The sequence below is a fragment of the Homo sapiens genome, chromosome 11 (assembly GCF_000001405.40).
Source record: "Homo sapiens chromosome 11, GRCh38.p14 Primary Assembly".
NCBI classification, from domain to species: Eukaryota; Metazoa; Chordata; class Mammalia; order Primates; family Hominidae; genus Homo; species Homo sapiens.
This window is the reverse complement of record NC_000011.10, coordinates 99,540,284-99,559,085: the sequence shown is the minus strand read 5'-3', so window position 1 is coordinate 99,559,085 and position 18,802 is coordinate 99,540,284. Positions and strand designations below refer to the sequence as shown.

The window sequence follows — 18,802 nt, the reverse complement described above, 5'->3', positions numbered from 1 at the left end:
ATATAGAGTGTAAGCATTAACCAAGGAACAAAAGCAGAATAGGGGCTCCACCTCTGAAATAGTATGATAAAATGAGGATGAAGGCAAATGAAAGATTTTGAACATAATCATTCTTGATAAATGATCCTTTCAAGTATCCTAATCAATTTTATTTTAAACAGATATCTACAGCAAAAAAGAAATTCATCTGTTTAAAAAAGCAACTGAATATTTGCTGCACATCAACCGCAGATATGATGATTAAAGATCAAATCCCATGTAGCAATTGTACATGACCTTTGTTTTCAACTTTTCTTTCTGCTTTGCCTATAACATTTGAAATGCCACTCATACCCAAACTCTTCCTAATTATTTCTGTCTTCCAATGTTTCCTTTATTTCATGAAATGAATAGTAACTTGATTCCAGTATTAGCTGGAAATCTAGGGATCATGGACCCCATATCAGGCTGAGTATTTTTGTGTTTGTTTCCACAACCACTGTATAATAGCTCTTTTGCAGGGACTGTTTATTTGAGGAAACAATATTGGACAAATACAAGAGAATGAAACTTTACAGTATTATTATAGAACACCACCTTCTTTCTTTCTAGCATTGTCAGATTAATAAATAAAAGCACTGGACATCTGTTAAATTTAATTTCTAGATAAAATGAAATAAAATATTGCATGGAACATACCAGAGCTAAAAACAAAACAACAACAAAAAACATACACACAAAACTTTCTTTTGAAATCCAAATCTAACTGGGTGTCCTTTATTTCATCTTGCAACCCTACCTCCATCTCCTTCAGTTGGCTTATAAGTTCAAGAGGAAAATGACATTGAGAAGATAAAAGAGAAACAACTGAGATCAGCAGGGAAGACAGTAATGCTGCACAAAAAAAAGAAACCCAACACTGAATAAAATATCTGAAGACTCTTGATTTCTTTTTTAAGTAACCATAATATTGATGAATCACAGTTTTCACTTAACTCTTAATGCCTTTGAGATACCTTACCTTTTCATGTCATAGATGTCTCTACCAACTTTTTATAGAGGTATCCTTTTTCCTTGCATGTCTCTTATTAAACCTGTTTTTTCTGTAAGCAACGTGTTGAACGTATAATAGTACTAATATATAAATAATTACTTGGTTTTTTGTTTTTTCAGTTATTTAATTACTAGTATTGCAATAAAAAGGCTTTTATATATCTTGTAAAAGCATTTAGATGAGTGCAGGTATGCTGCAGATATTACATTCAACACATAACAACTTATATAACTGAAATACTAAATTTATTTCTGTATATAAAGAAATTCTTTTAGATTTCAAATAATGTTTTGGAGCATAATCTGATAAGTTGAGGATTGCCTTTTCAGTTATAAAGAAGACTCATATATCATACATAATTGAAGTTATACTTTTGGTACATTACGAATAGTAATAATAGTATAAAGGCTAAAGAATAACCATTGTAAAATTATAATTTAAAAAATATAGCTTAAATGATTCTAAAAAGAGTTTATATTTTCTTGTATTTGGGTTTGTTCTTCTATCAGTCCTTTTTTCTTTAGACAATCTGCAGTTTTCTTCATGTTACACAATACAGGAAAGACTTAATTGACAGGAGAATGTGTTTAGTTCTTTGAAATAAAGAAATTTAGTATAATCAATTAGATATTTTTGTTGCATAGTAATATAACCATATAGAAGATGAGGCAATATTAGTGATCATATGTAAATAATATGCATGTTCTATATCTTTATGTAGTTTGTATTCTATATTATATATGATCATAAATACATATCTTGAACATGTGTTATCCTCATATATATGTATAAATGGAACATGTATGTATTTATATCAATATTTGCATAGAGTACTGAATGATCATATATATCAAAATGAATATTTTACTGCTTTAAAAATATATTTAGTATAATTAACACATTAAAAATGTGTTTAAAATGAAAGCAATCTTTTAATCTAAAATTATCAGCTGTTACATTTTATTTCAGACTCTCTTACCATACATACTACCTAAATTTAGCCCACAATATAGGTACTGATTTAAATATAATCAAGCTGTAAATGTTACATGCATAGCGCTTAAATTATGACCACAATTTAATTTCTAATCATTCTTCAATTAAAGCAAATAAGCTCTGACATATTAACTTTAGGCATTATGATATTATTACTACCAATACTATAAACTTTTCTTCGGAATAAAGTATCTCATTTTAGAGTCAAGATATAGAAAAATAAGTTTAATTACAACAAAGTCAGAGAAGGTGAGACAATCTGAAAAAATACATTGTGTTAGAGATGCCTTTAGATACTGTGTTATATATAATAAAGCTAACCTGATTCTGTTTTATATGGTGAAATTTAGCATTGTGATGAGACACTTTTATAATTAGCTGCTATAAAATACATAATTATTTATATACATATACATTATATGCATAAATATATGCACATATGTATGTATATATGTGTGGGAGATATATATATATATATATATATATATATATATATATATATTTCCAAGCCTTCTGAAAGCTAGATGGTTTAGATTGCAAATGAATGTCAAGGAGGTAAATACTCATTTTATTAACATTTATAGTGTACCTTATTATATTAAATTGTATATGGCATTTTGCAATGTTAACAGCGGCTTAAGGGTTGCTGCCTTTCTCTTGTTGGAAAGTATAAATACTGATATAAATTTAAATTAATACCTGAGGATATTTTGTAATGGAGACCTTGATATATTTTGGTTATTTTGATACTTAGAAAATCAAATAATTAATTAATCAGGACTTTTACCTGAAAGACACATGGTGACTGACAGAAACAGCATTAGTTTCCAAGAGGAAGCCATCCTCAGTCACTAGAATCTTCTGTGTCTCAATGTGTTTAACAGCTCTGGTGTTTCTTCATTAAAGAGTGCCCTGTTTGAGATAGATAACAATTTTCTTAAACAGAGGAAATAAACAAACAGAAAAGCCAACAAATACAAACCAATGCAAAAATCTCCTAATAACATGATAAATAACCATTAGTGCAAAGGTCAGATTAATATGCACTAGACAGCAATAATACAGTTTCTGTTAGAATTCATGTAATACACAATACAAGTACTTAGGAAATGTGATCAACTCTCCTTTTCACATTTATCTACATTGAATACTCCCATACAGATAGTAAAAACATCAGGTTCTAATGGGGATAATTTTTCCTCACAGGGAATGTGTAATAGCTATATTTATTACCTTAGACAAATTATTGGACTAGAAAAATAGGGTAGAGAAACCAGTTACATTAATATATACTCCTTTGGTCTAGAGCATAACTAATGATCGGTTGGCCAAGTGATTTTACACATTGTGCCTGTAGCTCATCAAAACCACCACAGGGAATTTTTCTCATTTAATTATTAATGTCAACTTCCTTTGTTTATAACTCCTATGATTATCTGTACTGTGTTATAGTTCTCTCCTTTGGTGAATTATTTCTTTCAGTATCTTTTGCTGGCTGGAACGTAAGGGAAAAAGGATTTTCATGAATATTTAATGTTTTTGTCTAATGCCATTTTTATAACAATAACCAGTATAGCACATTAATATATTTGGTTCCTTTTTTTCCCTGAATGATACAATAAACATGAAAAGAATAGAAAATTCTGACACTAAACTTTCTGCAAGAACTTGACAAATATATATTGGAAGTTTCTGTAATCCACAAGTACCTCCAGAATTTTCACGTGTCAGCTATGTTCTCCTTGGCGCAAAGCCGTTCAGTTGAGAAATAATTGTAAAGTATGTCAATGATTTTTGAATAATGATTGCCTTCTTGGTATCTGATCCCTCCTTATGAAATTAGAAGTCTAGGTTATCTCTATATTTTAGGAAACATCTGAAAAATATAGACACGTATTTTTTCCCCTAGCTAGATCATAATGTAATATAGTTATGTCAAAGAAAGGAATTTATTGTTAGTACCTCTACCTAAATGAAGTTACTTCCATTTTTATTTATAATTTTAAATATAAGTCTTGGTAGTCTATTTTAACTTTATATTTGGGGATCATTAATGGAGAAGAAAGTTAAGACAATAATGGTTAATTTATTTATAACAAGCCTAAACAAAAGAATTTTTTCATCATTTTCTGTATTTTATGAGTAAATATCAGATATACATATAATTCAAAGTACTAAATAACAACCTCATAGCTAATTGTGACAATTTAAAGCATCTTGGTTATTTATACACTGCTTTTTACCAGAAAGGAAAATAATAAAATCCACATATCACACATAATAACTGGAGAGATTAAAGTTGCCAGAAGTATGATTATGACTCATGAGAACTGCACAGTTGAGTTAGCAAAGTTTCAATTCATGATTAAATTGACCTTTTTTGAAATTGTGAATTCTGAGAAGGTAATATAGCTTTGGCTTAACTCATTTTTATGAGCTTGTGCTCAGTCCCATACTCCCCAAATTGGTACTTCTCGCTCTATTTACAATGTCCTAAGGTCCTCTGTTGTTCTAAATATTCTTCATAAACAAATACAAATGTTATTACAACCCTTAAGGGCTGTTTCTGGGACTGTCAGAGGGAAAACCCACAGACATTCATGTGCACACACATACATGGGTTGAGAGCCATCAAAAGGAGCATTGACTCATGAAGATAGCAGGAGAAACTGGACACAGTAGCAAAGGATCTTCAGTAAAATTTCAAGGAGTTATTGGTCTTAGATAAAGAACTTATTTTTGAGTGGAACAGTGTGGAAAGACTGACAAGGAACACATGGATAAATAAGTCAGTGTCAAACAGTGATACATACTCTGAAGAAATTAACAGAGTAAAGGGACAACCTGTGACCGGAGGATAGAAGGTGAGATTTTAGTAGGAATGCATGTGAAGCACTTTTCATAAGATGCCATGTAGGGGTGTTATGAAATAATCTTTAAGTATAAACTCCAGGCACATTTTTCCTACTCTCAAATATAAATGGTACACTGAATTTGATTTCTAAAATAACTTATTTTATGTTAAAATCTCTTGTAAAAGAAGAAGTGTGTGTGTGTGTATGTGTGTGTGTGTGTGTGTGTGTGTGTGTGTATTCATTTTCAAGCACCAGTGCTTGGTCCTTAGGGCATAAACAAAATAATATTTCTTAAATACACACAACATAATATTTCTTAAAAAGTCATTCTTTTTAAGATACATAATTACATTATATTTTATTTTTGCTCTCCTCCCTTATTCTCTCTCTCTTTTTCTCCCTTTCTGTCTCTTTCTAGTATTGAGATTATTAGTTTGTGCTTTTTCTATTGACAAATTGTAGCTGTATACATTTATGTAGTACAACATAATGCTTTGATATGTATATAAAATATAGTATAATTAAATCAAGCTAATTAAGATATCCATCACCTCACTTACGTATCATATTTTTATGATGAGACATCTGAAATTTACTCTCTTGGTTTTTTTAAAATACATAATACTGAAGGACATTAAGCTAAGTAAAATAACTCTTCTGAGTAAAATAAAAAGTAAATGAAATAATATTTAAGATTCTGAAATATGTAAACTTTTTACACGTTTCTTTTGAAAACATAGTTATCCGATGACTTTAATAAAATTCCTGCATCAAAGAAATGACAATATAATTAATTACACATATATTAGGTTCCTACTAGATGCAAGGTTAAGTTATAATCAATGAATAAAAGTTACCAAAGCAAAGAGAAGGATGTGTATTTGGAAATGCCTTTTTGGCTACCAGTTTAATGTACCAGTTTACATTAAACTGCTGTGCATTGTGAGATTAAAAAGTCACAAACAGGAATTTGGAAACTACTAATTGGAATTTGTTTAATCTCACATTTTTAAAATAACTTATTTCAATTCTTAGAATATGTACTTTCTGTCAACTATTACATTCAAAGAATAATGTATGAAATGACATCCCATTTCTTGGCATTTTCCTCTGAACTATTGCAAATATTTGCAAGTAGAGTGCAATAAGTAGATAATAGTGTTCGGATTCAGTCATAGATTACAAAGAATAAGTGCATTGTGAGGTTGACTGCATGTACAAATACTTTAAAGCATTACACCTTAATAGGTCTGAATATATGTCTACGAAGTAAGTCAAGTAATAATAGTATATTTCCACTTGGTTACAAGTTAGTCTTTTAAAAATGCAAGGTGTTAATAGTGCATACATCTGCAAATTAAGAGAGAGAGAGAGGGAGAGAACCAGCGAGAGAAAGAAATATCTATTACAGACTGCTGGTTTCACCAATTCTATACAGTTTTGCCCACGGCCGTATGCAATCCGGTCCCTGTCTAACTTTTTAATTTCATCTTCTAACTTTTTAGACTAACTCCATTCCCACAACACTGACTTTCTTGCTAGTCCTCAAGCATGCCAAGCACATACTGTGTCCTCTGCCTAGGCCTCTCCAACATCAGTTTTTTCCATACCTTAGAGTTTTAAATCATTGCAGACTGTTCTTTCTAGAAGCCTTTCTTGGTTACTCTCCTTAAAATAGCAAGCCCCCTCCTGTCAGCTCTGTCACTGATTTTTCTTACATTTGCCCTGCCTTATTTTTATTCTTAGCAATTATCAGTGCCTGAGGTTAAACTAGTCTATTTACATCTTAGTTATCTTTTTCTCCTACTAGAATGTCATATCCATGGAAGCAAGGATTTTTGTCTTGTTTATCTTTACAGAACCAGCATCTAGAACAGTGACCACCATAGAAAGTATTCAATTATTATTTTTTAGATAATAATTATTGAATAAACTGAAGTCTCTAGGAAATAAATTTTTTGGCAAAATATAATACAAAAAAAAAAACACAAAAACTGACCAGGTGCGTAGCTCATGTCTGTAATCCCAGCACTTTGGGAGGCAAGGCAGGCAGATCACTTGAGGTCAGGAGTTTGAGACCAGCCTGGCCAACATGGTGAAACCTTGTCTCTACTAAGAATACAGAAATTAGCTAGGCCTGGTGGCACTTGCCTATAATACCAGTTACTTGAGAGGCTGAGACATGAGAATCACTTGAACCAGGGAGACAGAGGTTGCAGTGAGCCAAGATTGTGCCACTGCACTCCAGCCTGGGTGATGGAGTGAGACTCTGTCTCAAAAAAAAAAAAAAAGAAAAAACTCAGTGTTTCTTAGATTTTCATACTACAGTCATGTGCTATATAATGACATTTCAGTCAACGTTGAACTGCATATATGATGATGTTCCCATAAGATAATTATATTTTCTGTACTTTTCATATGTTTAGATACACAAATACTTATTGTGTTATAATTGCCTACATTATTCAGTACAGTAACATCCTGTACAGGTCTGTAGCCTAGAAGCAATAGACTATATTACAGGCTAGATCTGTAGCAAGCTGCACCATATAGGTTTGTGTAAATAAACTCTACAGTGTTCACACAATGATTATATCACCTAAGAAGATATTTCTCAGAATATGGCTCAGTCATTAAGGGATACTTGACTATCCTAATAACAACTACCATTTATTAGATAAATTACAAGCATTGTGTTAAGCACTTTACCTACACAATCTCTAGGACATCTCTTATTGATGAAGCTAATTTGCCCCAGTTAATAAATAATGTTAACCCTTAAGCTCCATCACGTCTTAAGATTCCAAAGCAATCCCTGTGAGAGACCAGACAACCTTTACTCTGACACAATTGGGACTGGTACTGAGTTAATAAAAAACCCTTTAAAAACACTTAATTCACATATGCCTTAAATGTTTGCCATCTAATATTTAATTCTGTATTCTTAATATACAGAATATATATGCCAATTATTATATAGCAGTGACATCTTTTTATGATTATAAAGATTCTGGTGGAAAAAATGATTTCTTTTAACTCAGCATCACAGGAAACTGCAGTGTATAAATAGTGCCTGTGTTGCATCATATACAACTTTAAATTTATTTAAAGTGGCCTAAAAACATATGAAGTGATCTGATGGCAGGATTCTTGGAGGCTTTCATTATTTTTATGCAGTTATTTCATACGTACATTATAGCATTTTTAAGTGACTATCTTATAAAGTTTAGGGCTTTAGCCTTAAACAAACTTTTTGCCAAATGCTCTTACTCTTGGTACTCTCATGTAATCTGTGATTTCCAAAATGCTTATTTAACTTACGTAATTACAATAACATGGACAACTTATATAACTAGACTTGTAACAAACACAACTGAATCTTGGTAAATATGTGACTGAAAAAGTGGCAGTGAATAAACTAGAGATTAGCCTACTTACCTGTTAATATCATCTATATTCTGAGTTATTTTCATTTATTAAGGTAATGATGGATGTTAGTTATTCTGTGAAATTAGAACAGTAGAGGTTGAGTAAAAGTGTTTCTACTCCCACTTGCATGTGATAAGGCCTCAATGTGAGGGCCTTGTATGTAAATTTTGGTGAAAGGAATAAAATGAAGAAACATCTCTTTTTCCGTGGACCTTATTCTCCATCTCAACCATGACTCTTTGCTAAGACTGAAGCTTGTGACATTTTGCTTGGAAGTTCCCTTGAAAGGCTGAATAAGGTTGGAATAGGGCTCATAGAAAAGGAACATAAAATAAGTTTTTGAGGTGAATTGCTTTCAAGATATCCTTGAAGTTATCTAGCTCAATGCACCTGGGGAAAAAAAATAGATAACAAAATGTGGCCAAAGTTATAGCAGGAATAAAGAAGAATGTGTCTCCTTATTGCTTGCTGTCATATATCTTTTGAGGACCAAGCAGCAAAAAAATATTTTGGCTTTCAAATTTAGCCAGATTGAGTTATGATATTGTTTATCTTAGAAAAGCAAATGACAGTTTTGTGTCCTGGACAAAGTGCTAAGAGATGTAGTGAGCAGACTGAGCTCACAGTGTTCACATGTTTTGGAGGCATTCTTTTTAACATGATTTTCTATAGTGTGTTAAACACCGTGAGGCATAGTGAAGATCAGTTTTTCTTACTCTTTTAAATATAAACATTTTTTAAGCCTCAACAAAACCTGCGTGGAATAGGGTCCAGCAAAAATTTTAAAAGGAGCCACACTAGTTTTCTGAGACTTCAAGTCAACTTTATAATTTTATTTAAAATATAAGAGTAGAAAAAGTATGGTTCGAGATTACTTACTACTCAAAAGTATAATTAATGGATACTGGAATCAGAAAGAAAAAAAGATAACTACTCTAGAATCTGATGCCAGAAATAGTTTGTGATTCCTACCACCTAGTGACTGATATTAGAACAGGGTAAAGACACAACTATGGCTCACGACTCCACATAAATTCTGACAGGCCTTGTGTTGTGTTGGGATGCTGAATACCATTTCATGGCTGAGTGGCAGTAGATTTCCTTTCTGGCAATTTGGGAACTGGATATCATGACTAAGAAGGAGTATGTCCTTCTTAAAGTAATACAGAGAATATTATAAAATATTCTTGAATGCCTCAGTGAACTACTTAGGAAGAGAAAAACGTACTAGATGTGAAAGCTAAATAAGAGTGGTAAGCTGGGAACCAAAGAAGACTTTACTATTCAGTGACTTTGCAATTCTCAATGTACTTCAGATTTATGTATATGGCTGCTTTGGAAGTGGGGGACCAAAACCAAAGCCTAGGGCCCACACAGCTGGGTAATCAAATAGGAGAATCCATATGTCTAAGATCCCAAAGGGATATCTCTCTAGAGAGATACTCCATTCATAAAAGAGTAAAATAGAATTTTCAGGTCTAAACTATGGGAATAAATAGAAGTAGAAGGAATAAAGAAAATCTCAATAGTCAAAAATTCAGTCAAGAGTCATGTCACTTACAGGAAAAGAAATCACTAAAAGTGAGAGTCAATAGAAATGATAAAGGTCAGAATCATACCAGCAAAGACTTCAGATATTTGACTTTTCAGGCATATTACTTGTGTTATAAAAAAAAAAAAGGAATTGACACCATGAGAAAGAGGAAATAGGAATAAAAAGATTACCTAAAAGTAGCCCAGAAAGGCAATAGCTGGAAGCTATGGAAGAAAGAAACACAATGATAGTGAAAAGGTCTTAATATGTCTAATCAGATTTTTTTGAGTGAGAAAGAAAATGGGATGAGGCAACATGTGAAAAGATAGATAATTGCTAAGATTTTCCAGAATTGATAAAATTTACCAATTTTAAGATTCTTAAAGACCAGAGAAATCCAAAAAGAAGAAATACCTGTGCACATCATATTGAAAATGGAAAATACTAAAACCAAAAAGCAGCCAGAGAGAAAAAGAAAGTAACTATAAAAGTAGGAAAACCAGACTCGCATTTGACTTTCTGATAGCAAGAATGAGACTCAAAAAATTAAAATAATGTACTGTGAGATACAAACAAATGAGAATAATGTACTTTATTGCTAAAGCAAATAAGGAATCCATTAGCCGGAGGATGTCTCCCTAATTCAAGCACTTAGATAAGCAAACTGAAACTTAACTTGGAAACCTTCCCCGTAACTGACTGAAGAAAAATAAGTCTCAGCCAATCACAAACATTCAACCAGCGATTGGCTATACAATTATGGACCTCCAGTCAGCTCATGTCCAAATAAGGCAAACACTTAGCTGTAGCCAATCAGGTAATTTTTCAACTTTGCTTTTATGTTCAGCCTACAAATTCTCACTGCTCAGACTGATAGAGAAGAGCTCTCTGAACCTCTTTCAATTTTGAGTGCTGCCTGATTTATGAATCATTATTTGCCTAAATAAACTGTGAAATTTAACTTGTCTAAGGTTTTTAGCAATGTACTATTCCAGACCCAGTGAAAATTTATGTAAAGGACAGGAGAGAAATACCTCTTTCTATTAAATCAAAAACTGATTTTTCCAAAAATAAATCCTTACAGAGAAAAATAATAATATTTATCAGACAAAAGGAAAAATAGTAACTGCAGAAGTAAGCTATAAAATTCATAAAGGGAAAAATAACAATAGAAAACACATATAATTGTTATTACCTGCCAGGTACTGTTCTAAGTGCTTTTCTAGAGGAATTCATTTTACAAAAAGAACCATATAGGTAAATATATTATTTCCATTTTACAGATAACGAAGCTGGGGCACAGAAAGGTTAAGCAAATTTTCTAAAGTTGCACAACTACTAAGTAAACTGCATATTAATATCTAGACAGTCTAACTCCAGAAGCCATGTCTTTAACCAACACACTGAACTATCTGAAAGAATAATGAGTCAAAAATGTGGTGATTGTCTTTATAAATCAATAATAATCATATCCTTTAGGGTAAAAAGTAAGACAAATATAAAGTTAAGATAATGGAAGATAGTAGCATATAAATTAAGAGAAAGTGGCTGAAGTTAAATATTCAACTTGTATTACTCAGAAGGAGGATAATGCAATTAACTTTAGATTTTTGTAAAATATCTATGTTAAATTTTCTAGGGTAACTGCTGGAAAATAAATTATTCTGAAAATGAATTCATATCCATCTTAAATCTTTACAACCTCCTGCTGTTTGGTAATAAAACAGATACACACCTGAAATTATTTATTAAAAACTCTTTTACATACAGTTTAGCATATAAGGCAACTTTCTACATTTCCTATAAAACAGAAACCTAAATTTTTAGTCTGGCATTGCAGGCTCCCTATAGTCTATCTCAAATGATTTGTCTGCCCACATACCTTCCACTGCTCCACTTCAAACATTTATAGCTCAGCTAATGAAAATAATTTTCGACCAGGCGCGGTGGCTCACGCCTGTAATCCCAGCACTTGGGAGGCCGAGGCAGGCGGATCACCTGAGGTCAGGAGTTCGGGACTAGCCTGACCGACATGGAGAAACCCTGTCTCTACTAAAAAAATACAAAATTAGCCGGGTGTGGTGGTGCATGACTGTAATCCCAGCTACTTGGGAGGCTGAGGCAGGAGAATCGCTTGAACCCAGGGAGTGGAGGTTGCGGTGAGCCAAGATCGTGCCGTTGCACTCCAGCCTGGACAACAAGGGCAAAACTCTGTCTCAAAAAAAAAAAAAAAAAGAAAATAATTTTCATTCACAAACCTAATTTGTGTTGTGTATCTTTCATGAAAGACTCACACTCACACTCTTCCCTATAACATTTCTTACTTCAAAATATCTAGCTTTGTCAGAAATGAAATAAGTCACTTAATTAAGAGTCAGTGCAAAGATCTTAACGTAAGAATGGGCTTTGCGTGTCCAAGCTGCAGAGAAAAGGCCATCATGAGTGCAAAGTAATGCCCAGGAGTAAGTGGTAGGAGATCAAGCCTGAGGATCATAGAAGGCCAGACCGCAAAGTATCCATAGGTCAGTGAAAGGAGTGTGAATTTTATTAAAAACACCATCATAAATAAATAATCATATAACTAAATTTCAAAAGTTCTCTGATAACTTCCAATACTACCTATATATTTTTTGCAATATAATATACTGTCAAGTGAAGAGTCATGAGATCTACAAATGTGAGGAGGAGACTTTATTTATTATAAAGGGTTATAGCCTGCAGGGTGTCCATCTTGACAGGCTGTAACTCTTTATAACAACTAAAGTTTCCTCTCTCAATTTATAGATCTTGTGATTCTTCAGTTGATATATCTGACAGATGAGCTTGGGGTTCTGAATGGGATTCATAGTTCCTCCTGTATCCTTTTGAATATGTATTTTTAAGCAACCTGTTTGTATAAATTCCTGTTCCACCCTCCCCTCCCTCAAAGTGCCTGCTAATGGTCTTTGTGGAAGGCTACCCTTTCTAGCCCATCAGAATGGCCACCTTGCAGGACATAACCCTTTATGAAAAATGAAATCTTTCCAAATTTATAGATCTTATCAAGCTTCCATTGACAGTACACAGCATCAAATGACATTCCATCATTACAGAGAAGACAAAGAGACGTGACAAAGTAATAGGATTTCCCTAATGCCCCCAGTAATTCAAACTCGGCATCAGAATTAGAGCTGCACCTTCTCATTCCTGGTCAGCAGGTCTAAATAATGTACTCATGCTGACTTTTTCATTTCCTACTGATAGGAAAATCTATTCAAAGTCCAAGTTGTTGAAGAATTTAAGAGAACAGATTTGTATCCATTTTAGGAGAAGTTCTTCTAATAATGAGTGGGACGACTTAGGAGATGAAGCCCTGGCTACGTGCAGGGAGAGAATGTCTCACACATTCCAAAATGTGCAACTTACGGAAAAGGGGACTTGGGTTACTGCTTCCTGGAAAACAAACCAGTGAGAACATGAGAACACCTGTTCAGGGTTCTGCATGAACAAGTAAGTCGACTAAATTCTGACTTAAATAGTTTTCAACATATAATTTGCAGAATATATACTCTGCACAACAGTGAGAGGTAATAAATATTTCACATGGATAAATTTGTTTTCTGAAAAAGTTAGTGGAGCAATGAGGAAACCTGAAAGATTTTGAGTTTTAAAAATTTCCTTTGTATAACGTGATATGAATAAGATTTTAGGGCCATGGTCTCTAGCAAGAGAAATAAACCCATATTTACTCTGTTATTTAAATTCTCTTTTAATTTAATTAAATATGAAAATAAGGATCTTTGGAAGGCAGTTAAGTAAGAGTAATTATGCTTGGTTATTGTTGGCTAAATTGGGCTTTTAATGATTTACTTAAAATTTAACCCACATCCCCTTGGAAAAATTGGCATTTTGAATCACTATCTTCATCTGGCAGTCGAAACCACAGGGCTAAATTGCATTTAAACAATGTCTTGTTATAGGCACATAGTTAAACTGGGAATTGTAAATAATTCCAAGGCAATGTTTGAAACAGCAAATAGAAATACCCTTAGGAGTCATATACATTTTTGTACTTCATTTCCACATTAAACCTTTTTACCTGAAATATTCATATTCTCTAAAGGCAAGGCAAATGTCTGATAAAAAATAAGCCAAACAAACAACAAACTTGGGAACGTATTCTGTAAAAATATATACTATAGTTATAAAATATTAGGCAGATCCCCTGGTGGAATTTTACTCACAATGTGACAAGAATCTGTAAGAGTGGTCTTCTATGTTGTTGGCAAAGGAATTACAAAGAAATCTCAATGAAGGAAAAAGAGATACTACAGGGATATGCAGTGGATGTTTTTATATCTCAAACTTTAATCCAAATGGCTATTATTGATTTTTTCCCCCACACAGTAATGACTGAGAAGCATTGTGATCAAGTAGATAGGAACTAGTAAGGAAAGTAAAGAAATCTGAATTCTGGGCAAAGCCAAGTCCCTAATAAACTGCCTCTCTCTATTTTAGCTTCTTTATTCTGTGTCCAGGTAGCACCAGCCTTTGCAGACTCCTAGGAACCAGTTACCTGATTTCATTAACTCCTTTGAAACCTCACAGATAAAAAAAAAATTCAGTAGAGTCACTATAATTTCTCCACATTGTTTCTGTTAGTTAAATGGCTTTAAAAATTCTTAATACTGTTTATTTCAGAAACAAGCATTTAAAATAATTACTCAAAAAGAAAGCTATTGGATTTTTCAATCCCTGACTCAGTTCTTCAAGCAGATAATAATTTCATTATGTTCTCAGCACAGTACCTAAATAATCTGAAGCAGTCATTCTACATAGTATAAATAGCACATTTAATTTACATGAGTTTAAATGTCTTTTAATAGCTGCTGATCTCAGAATATGCCTAATACAGTTTGATGTTGTAACCTCTAAATCTCATGTTGAGTTGTAATTCGCAGTGTTGGAAGTCGGGCCTAGTGGGAGGTGATTGGATCTTGAGGGTAGATATTTCATGAACAGTTCAGCCCCGTCTTCTCAGTGCTATACTTGCAATAGTGAGCGAGTTCTCACAAGATCCTCTTGGTCCTGCTTCACCTTCCACCGTAGTAAAGGCTTCCTGAGGCCTCCCCAGAAACTAAGCAGATGCCAGTGCCACGCTTATACAGCCTGCATAACTGTGAGCCAATTAAACCCCTTTCTTTATGAATTATGCAACTTCAGGTATTCTTAACAGCAACACAAGAATAGTTTAACACAATGTCCCTATATTTAGAAAAGTTTTCAAGGTAATACTACCCCTACTTTATTTCCTTTTTTTTTTTTTTTTTTTTGTTTTTTTGAGACAGACTCTCTCTGTTACCCAAGCTGGAGTGCAATGGCGCAATCTCAGCTCACTGCAACCTCCGATTCCTGAGTTCAAGCAATTCTCCTGCCACAGCAGCCTCCTGAGTAGCAGGAATTACAGGCGTGTGCCACCACGCACAGCTAATTTTTGTAGTTTCAGTAGAGATGGGGTTTCACCATGTTGGCCAGGCTGGTCTTGAACTCCTGACCTCAGGTGATCCACCCACCTCAGCCTCCCAAAGTGCTGGGATTACAGGCATGAGCCACCGCACCCGGCCTAATTTCTATTATATCTAATAAAGCAACAATAACTATGTATTGTTTATCTAGGTTCATTGTGCCTTGATATTTTTAGACCATTGTGATTGACTCACACAATCTTTGAGATGCTCTGAGAAATGTCAGAGCAGATTAAGAAAGTAAGTCTAGCAGAGTTATGGCCTAACTGAATTTGATATCAGAAGTGCAAGTAAATGTGATGGTCAGCAAAGCCACCCACCAGAAAGATCCACTTGACAGATACCTTAATATTTTCCAGAAATGTATAATAAAAGCAGAAAGTACAAGAAATAGGTGACCACAGTCAATTGGCCAGTGACCCAAATATAAGATGCTGTATAAAATGAATGTGGACTATATTTAGCTATTCTTGTGCTATTGTTCATTTGCAGAAATCACTTCATTTCTGAAGTCCAAGAGCTTTATATTTCAAGGTTTGAATGCAGAGAAATATGATTCTGTAGAGTCAAACTGAGATTTTTATCACCCAGGAAAGGGAATAGCTAAAGTTGCAGATGTTTTGACAGAAAGAATTCTATTCCAGGAATATATATATAACAGAGCACAGATTATATATCAAGGATAAATTTAATAGAGGTGGCCAAATAAGGCATACCAGACAAGGCACAACACAAGGCCTTCAACTGAAAAGGAGGACCTATGGCCTTTATGAGGCAGCCTTGAAGATACCTTGCTCTAAGTTCCTTCCAAGGAAAAACTTTCAGTTCAGCTGCAAAGGGAGCAGTGAGCTGCCAGCTTCCAGTTGTTTGCAACTCCAGGATCCACCTCTGTGTCTTAGCTTGGGCCATGTGATTTCCCAGCAGCCCCAACCACTGACTGAGCAGGGTGGTGGTACAAGGACCTGTCCATTTCTGCCTAATGAGAGATGCCTCTAATAGGCAATCTTGGCTCTGGATGTACAAAGAGGGGTGGCCCAGGCTACTTATTTCCACCAGAGGTGATTTTGCCCTCCAGGGAACATTTAGCAATATTTGGAGATTTTTTTGTTGTTGTCACTGGTATGCTACTGGCATCTAGTAGTAGGGGCCAGAGAGACTAGTAAACATTGTGTTAAGTTGGCGCAAAAGTAAATGCGGTTTTGACATTGAAAGTAATGGCAAAACCCACAATTATTTTGGAACAACCTAATAATATTCAGCCTTCCTCAATGGGGACATTATCTTAAGTGAAATAAGCCAGACATAGAAAGACAGATACCATATGTTCTCATTCATATGTGGAATTTTTAAAAGTTAAAATCATAGAAGTAGTGAACAGAACAGTGGTTACCAGAGACTTGGGAGGGTGTAAGGGAGGAGGCATGGGAAGAGGTTGGTTACTGGGTACAAAGTTACAAATTTAAATGAAGAAAAAGTTACAGTGTCCTATCACACAGTAGGGTGACTATAGTCAACAATAAATTGCTAGAAGAGAGGAGTTGGAATGTTCTTACTACAAAGAAGTTATAAATGTTTGAGGTGATAGATATGTTAATTACCCTGCATTAATCATTACACAATGTATTAATGTATTGAAACAATACATTATATCCCATAAATACGTACAATTATTATATGACAATTAAAAACAAAGAGATAAATTTGGAAAGTAAATTATTGAAAATATTTGTCCCCACATTTCTTTCTTTTCTTTTCTTTTTTTTTTTTTTTTTTTTTTTGAGACAAGATCTCCCTCTGTCACCAAGACCAGAGTGCAATGGCATGATCACACCTCACTGTAGCCCTGCAGCCCCAATCTCCTAGGTTCAAGCTCTCCCACAACCTCAGTCTCCGGAGTAGCTAGGACTACAGGCACATGCCATCCTACGTAGCCAATTTTTTGATTTTCCATAGAGACGAGATTTCACTTTGTCGCCCAGCCTAGCCTCAAACTCCTGGGCTCAAGCCATTCTTTTGCCTTGGCTTCCCATAGTGTTGGGATTACAGGTGTGATTCACTGCACCTGGCTGAGCCCAAAATTTCAATAGTGCTGAGGCTGAGAAACCTTGACCCAGAATTCATCACATCAAAACATGATTTGAGGATTTCCCTGAGCAATCTTGTATCTTCCTCCTTTTCACAGGTGTCAGAGCTGCAGGTCAGTCCAATACCTTTCCTATTCAACTGTGCTCCATCTCCTCTTTGGCCCTCCAGTTGTTAACTCTCTCTTGGCATTTCTTATTCAGTGTAAGAGTTCTGATTTCTGGAACATCCAACTGACACCCTTTAATAAACATTTATTAATCATAAAAAGTACCAACCACCATACTAGCTGCTAAGAGAAAAGTATAAACAAGAGATGAACTGTATTTCAAGGAGATCATGTGTTAGAACATAGAAAACCTTCATAACACAAAATACAGTGAATATTAATATATTAAAATTCAATGGAAGCTCTACACTACAAGAAGTTTCAGGCATGCCCACTGTGCATGTCAGAGGATTCAGTCAGCTAGTGTACTGCTCATTTTTAACCTGGTGTCCTTAAATCTTCCAGAGTAGGGCAGAGTTATTTCTCAAGTGTGGAGTTGTTACGATTCTTCATATAGGGTTGGGCAGCATCTGTCAGAAGATGAAGGGTAAAGATTTAAGAGGGCAGGGAGATCCTGACTGAATGCTACACATTAAAGGGTAGTGTTTTTGCATAAAAGCAAAACTGATTATTTCTTTTTAACGTAGTATTACTGGCAGTCATTGGGCTACAGAATACATTTCAGACTGCTTTGGATGTTTATCAAGATACTTCTAAATTCGTTATAATTTGCCTTCGTAGACTTATCTAATATTTTTCCCATACATACCCTAGATTTTCATTCATTCCTCAGTGAGCACCTGTACATCTATCATATACCAAATTTCTGTGATAGGCAGATATAATAGTGAGAAAGACAGACATAGCCCCGTAGCTCAGACTGCTTTAGCAGTTGAGTATCATTTGCCCCTTTCCAAACTTAAGATGCTCTTCATTCATGCTCCTTCCCATGACTAAACTTTCTTTAGCTCTTGGTAGTCTATTTCTGCTCTATATTTTAAGTCTCATGCCTTTGAAAAAAATTTTTTCTTGACCTCTGCATTAATCTAACACTTTATTGTGCTTTTTGTAGCAATTAGTTTGTATCCCAGGCCACATCTATGTTATAATAATATAGCAATTATGAGTGTGTCTCCTGATCTGAACCTGTGAACACATTGAAAGTGCATGCCATATGTTGTCTACATTTGTCTTGAAGACACCCAGCAAAATGCCGTGCATTGTTAGGTACTCAATAAATGATCACATTTAATTTATTTATCTTTAAATTGTAAGCAAAGAAAATAATAACAAAATCCTAATATCAAATATACATTGTAT

The 18,802-nt window shown here is 34.1% G+C and overlaps 1 protein-coding gene across 12 annotated transcripts in view; it reads right to left on the bottom strand.

The window, feature by feature from the left end:
* The window catches only part of CNTN5 (contactin 5), a 1,337,937-nt gene that overhangs the window by 799,800 nt on the left and 519,335 nt on the right, over positions 1-18,802 (bottom strand). For all 12 annotated transcript variants that reach the window (XM_017017926.2, NM_014361.4, XM_011542871.2 and 9 more), the window contains one exon: positions 2,817-2,941. In XM_017017926.2, the coding sequence (XP_016873415.1) occupies positions 2,817-2,871 (55 nt within the window). In that variant the 5' untranslated portion in view covers positions 2,872-2,941. Of the gene's footprint in view, positions 1-2,816; positions 2,942-18,802 lie in introns of those variants that run through there.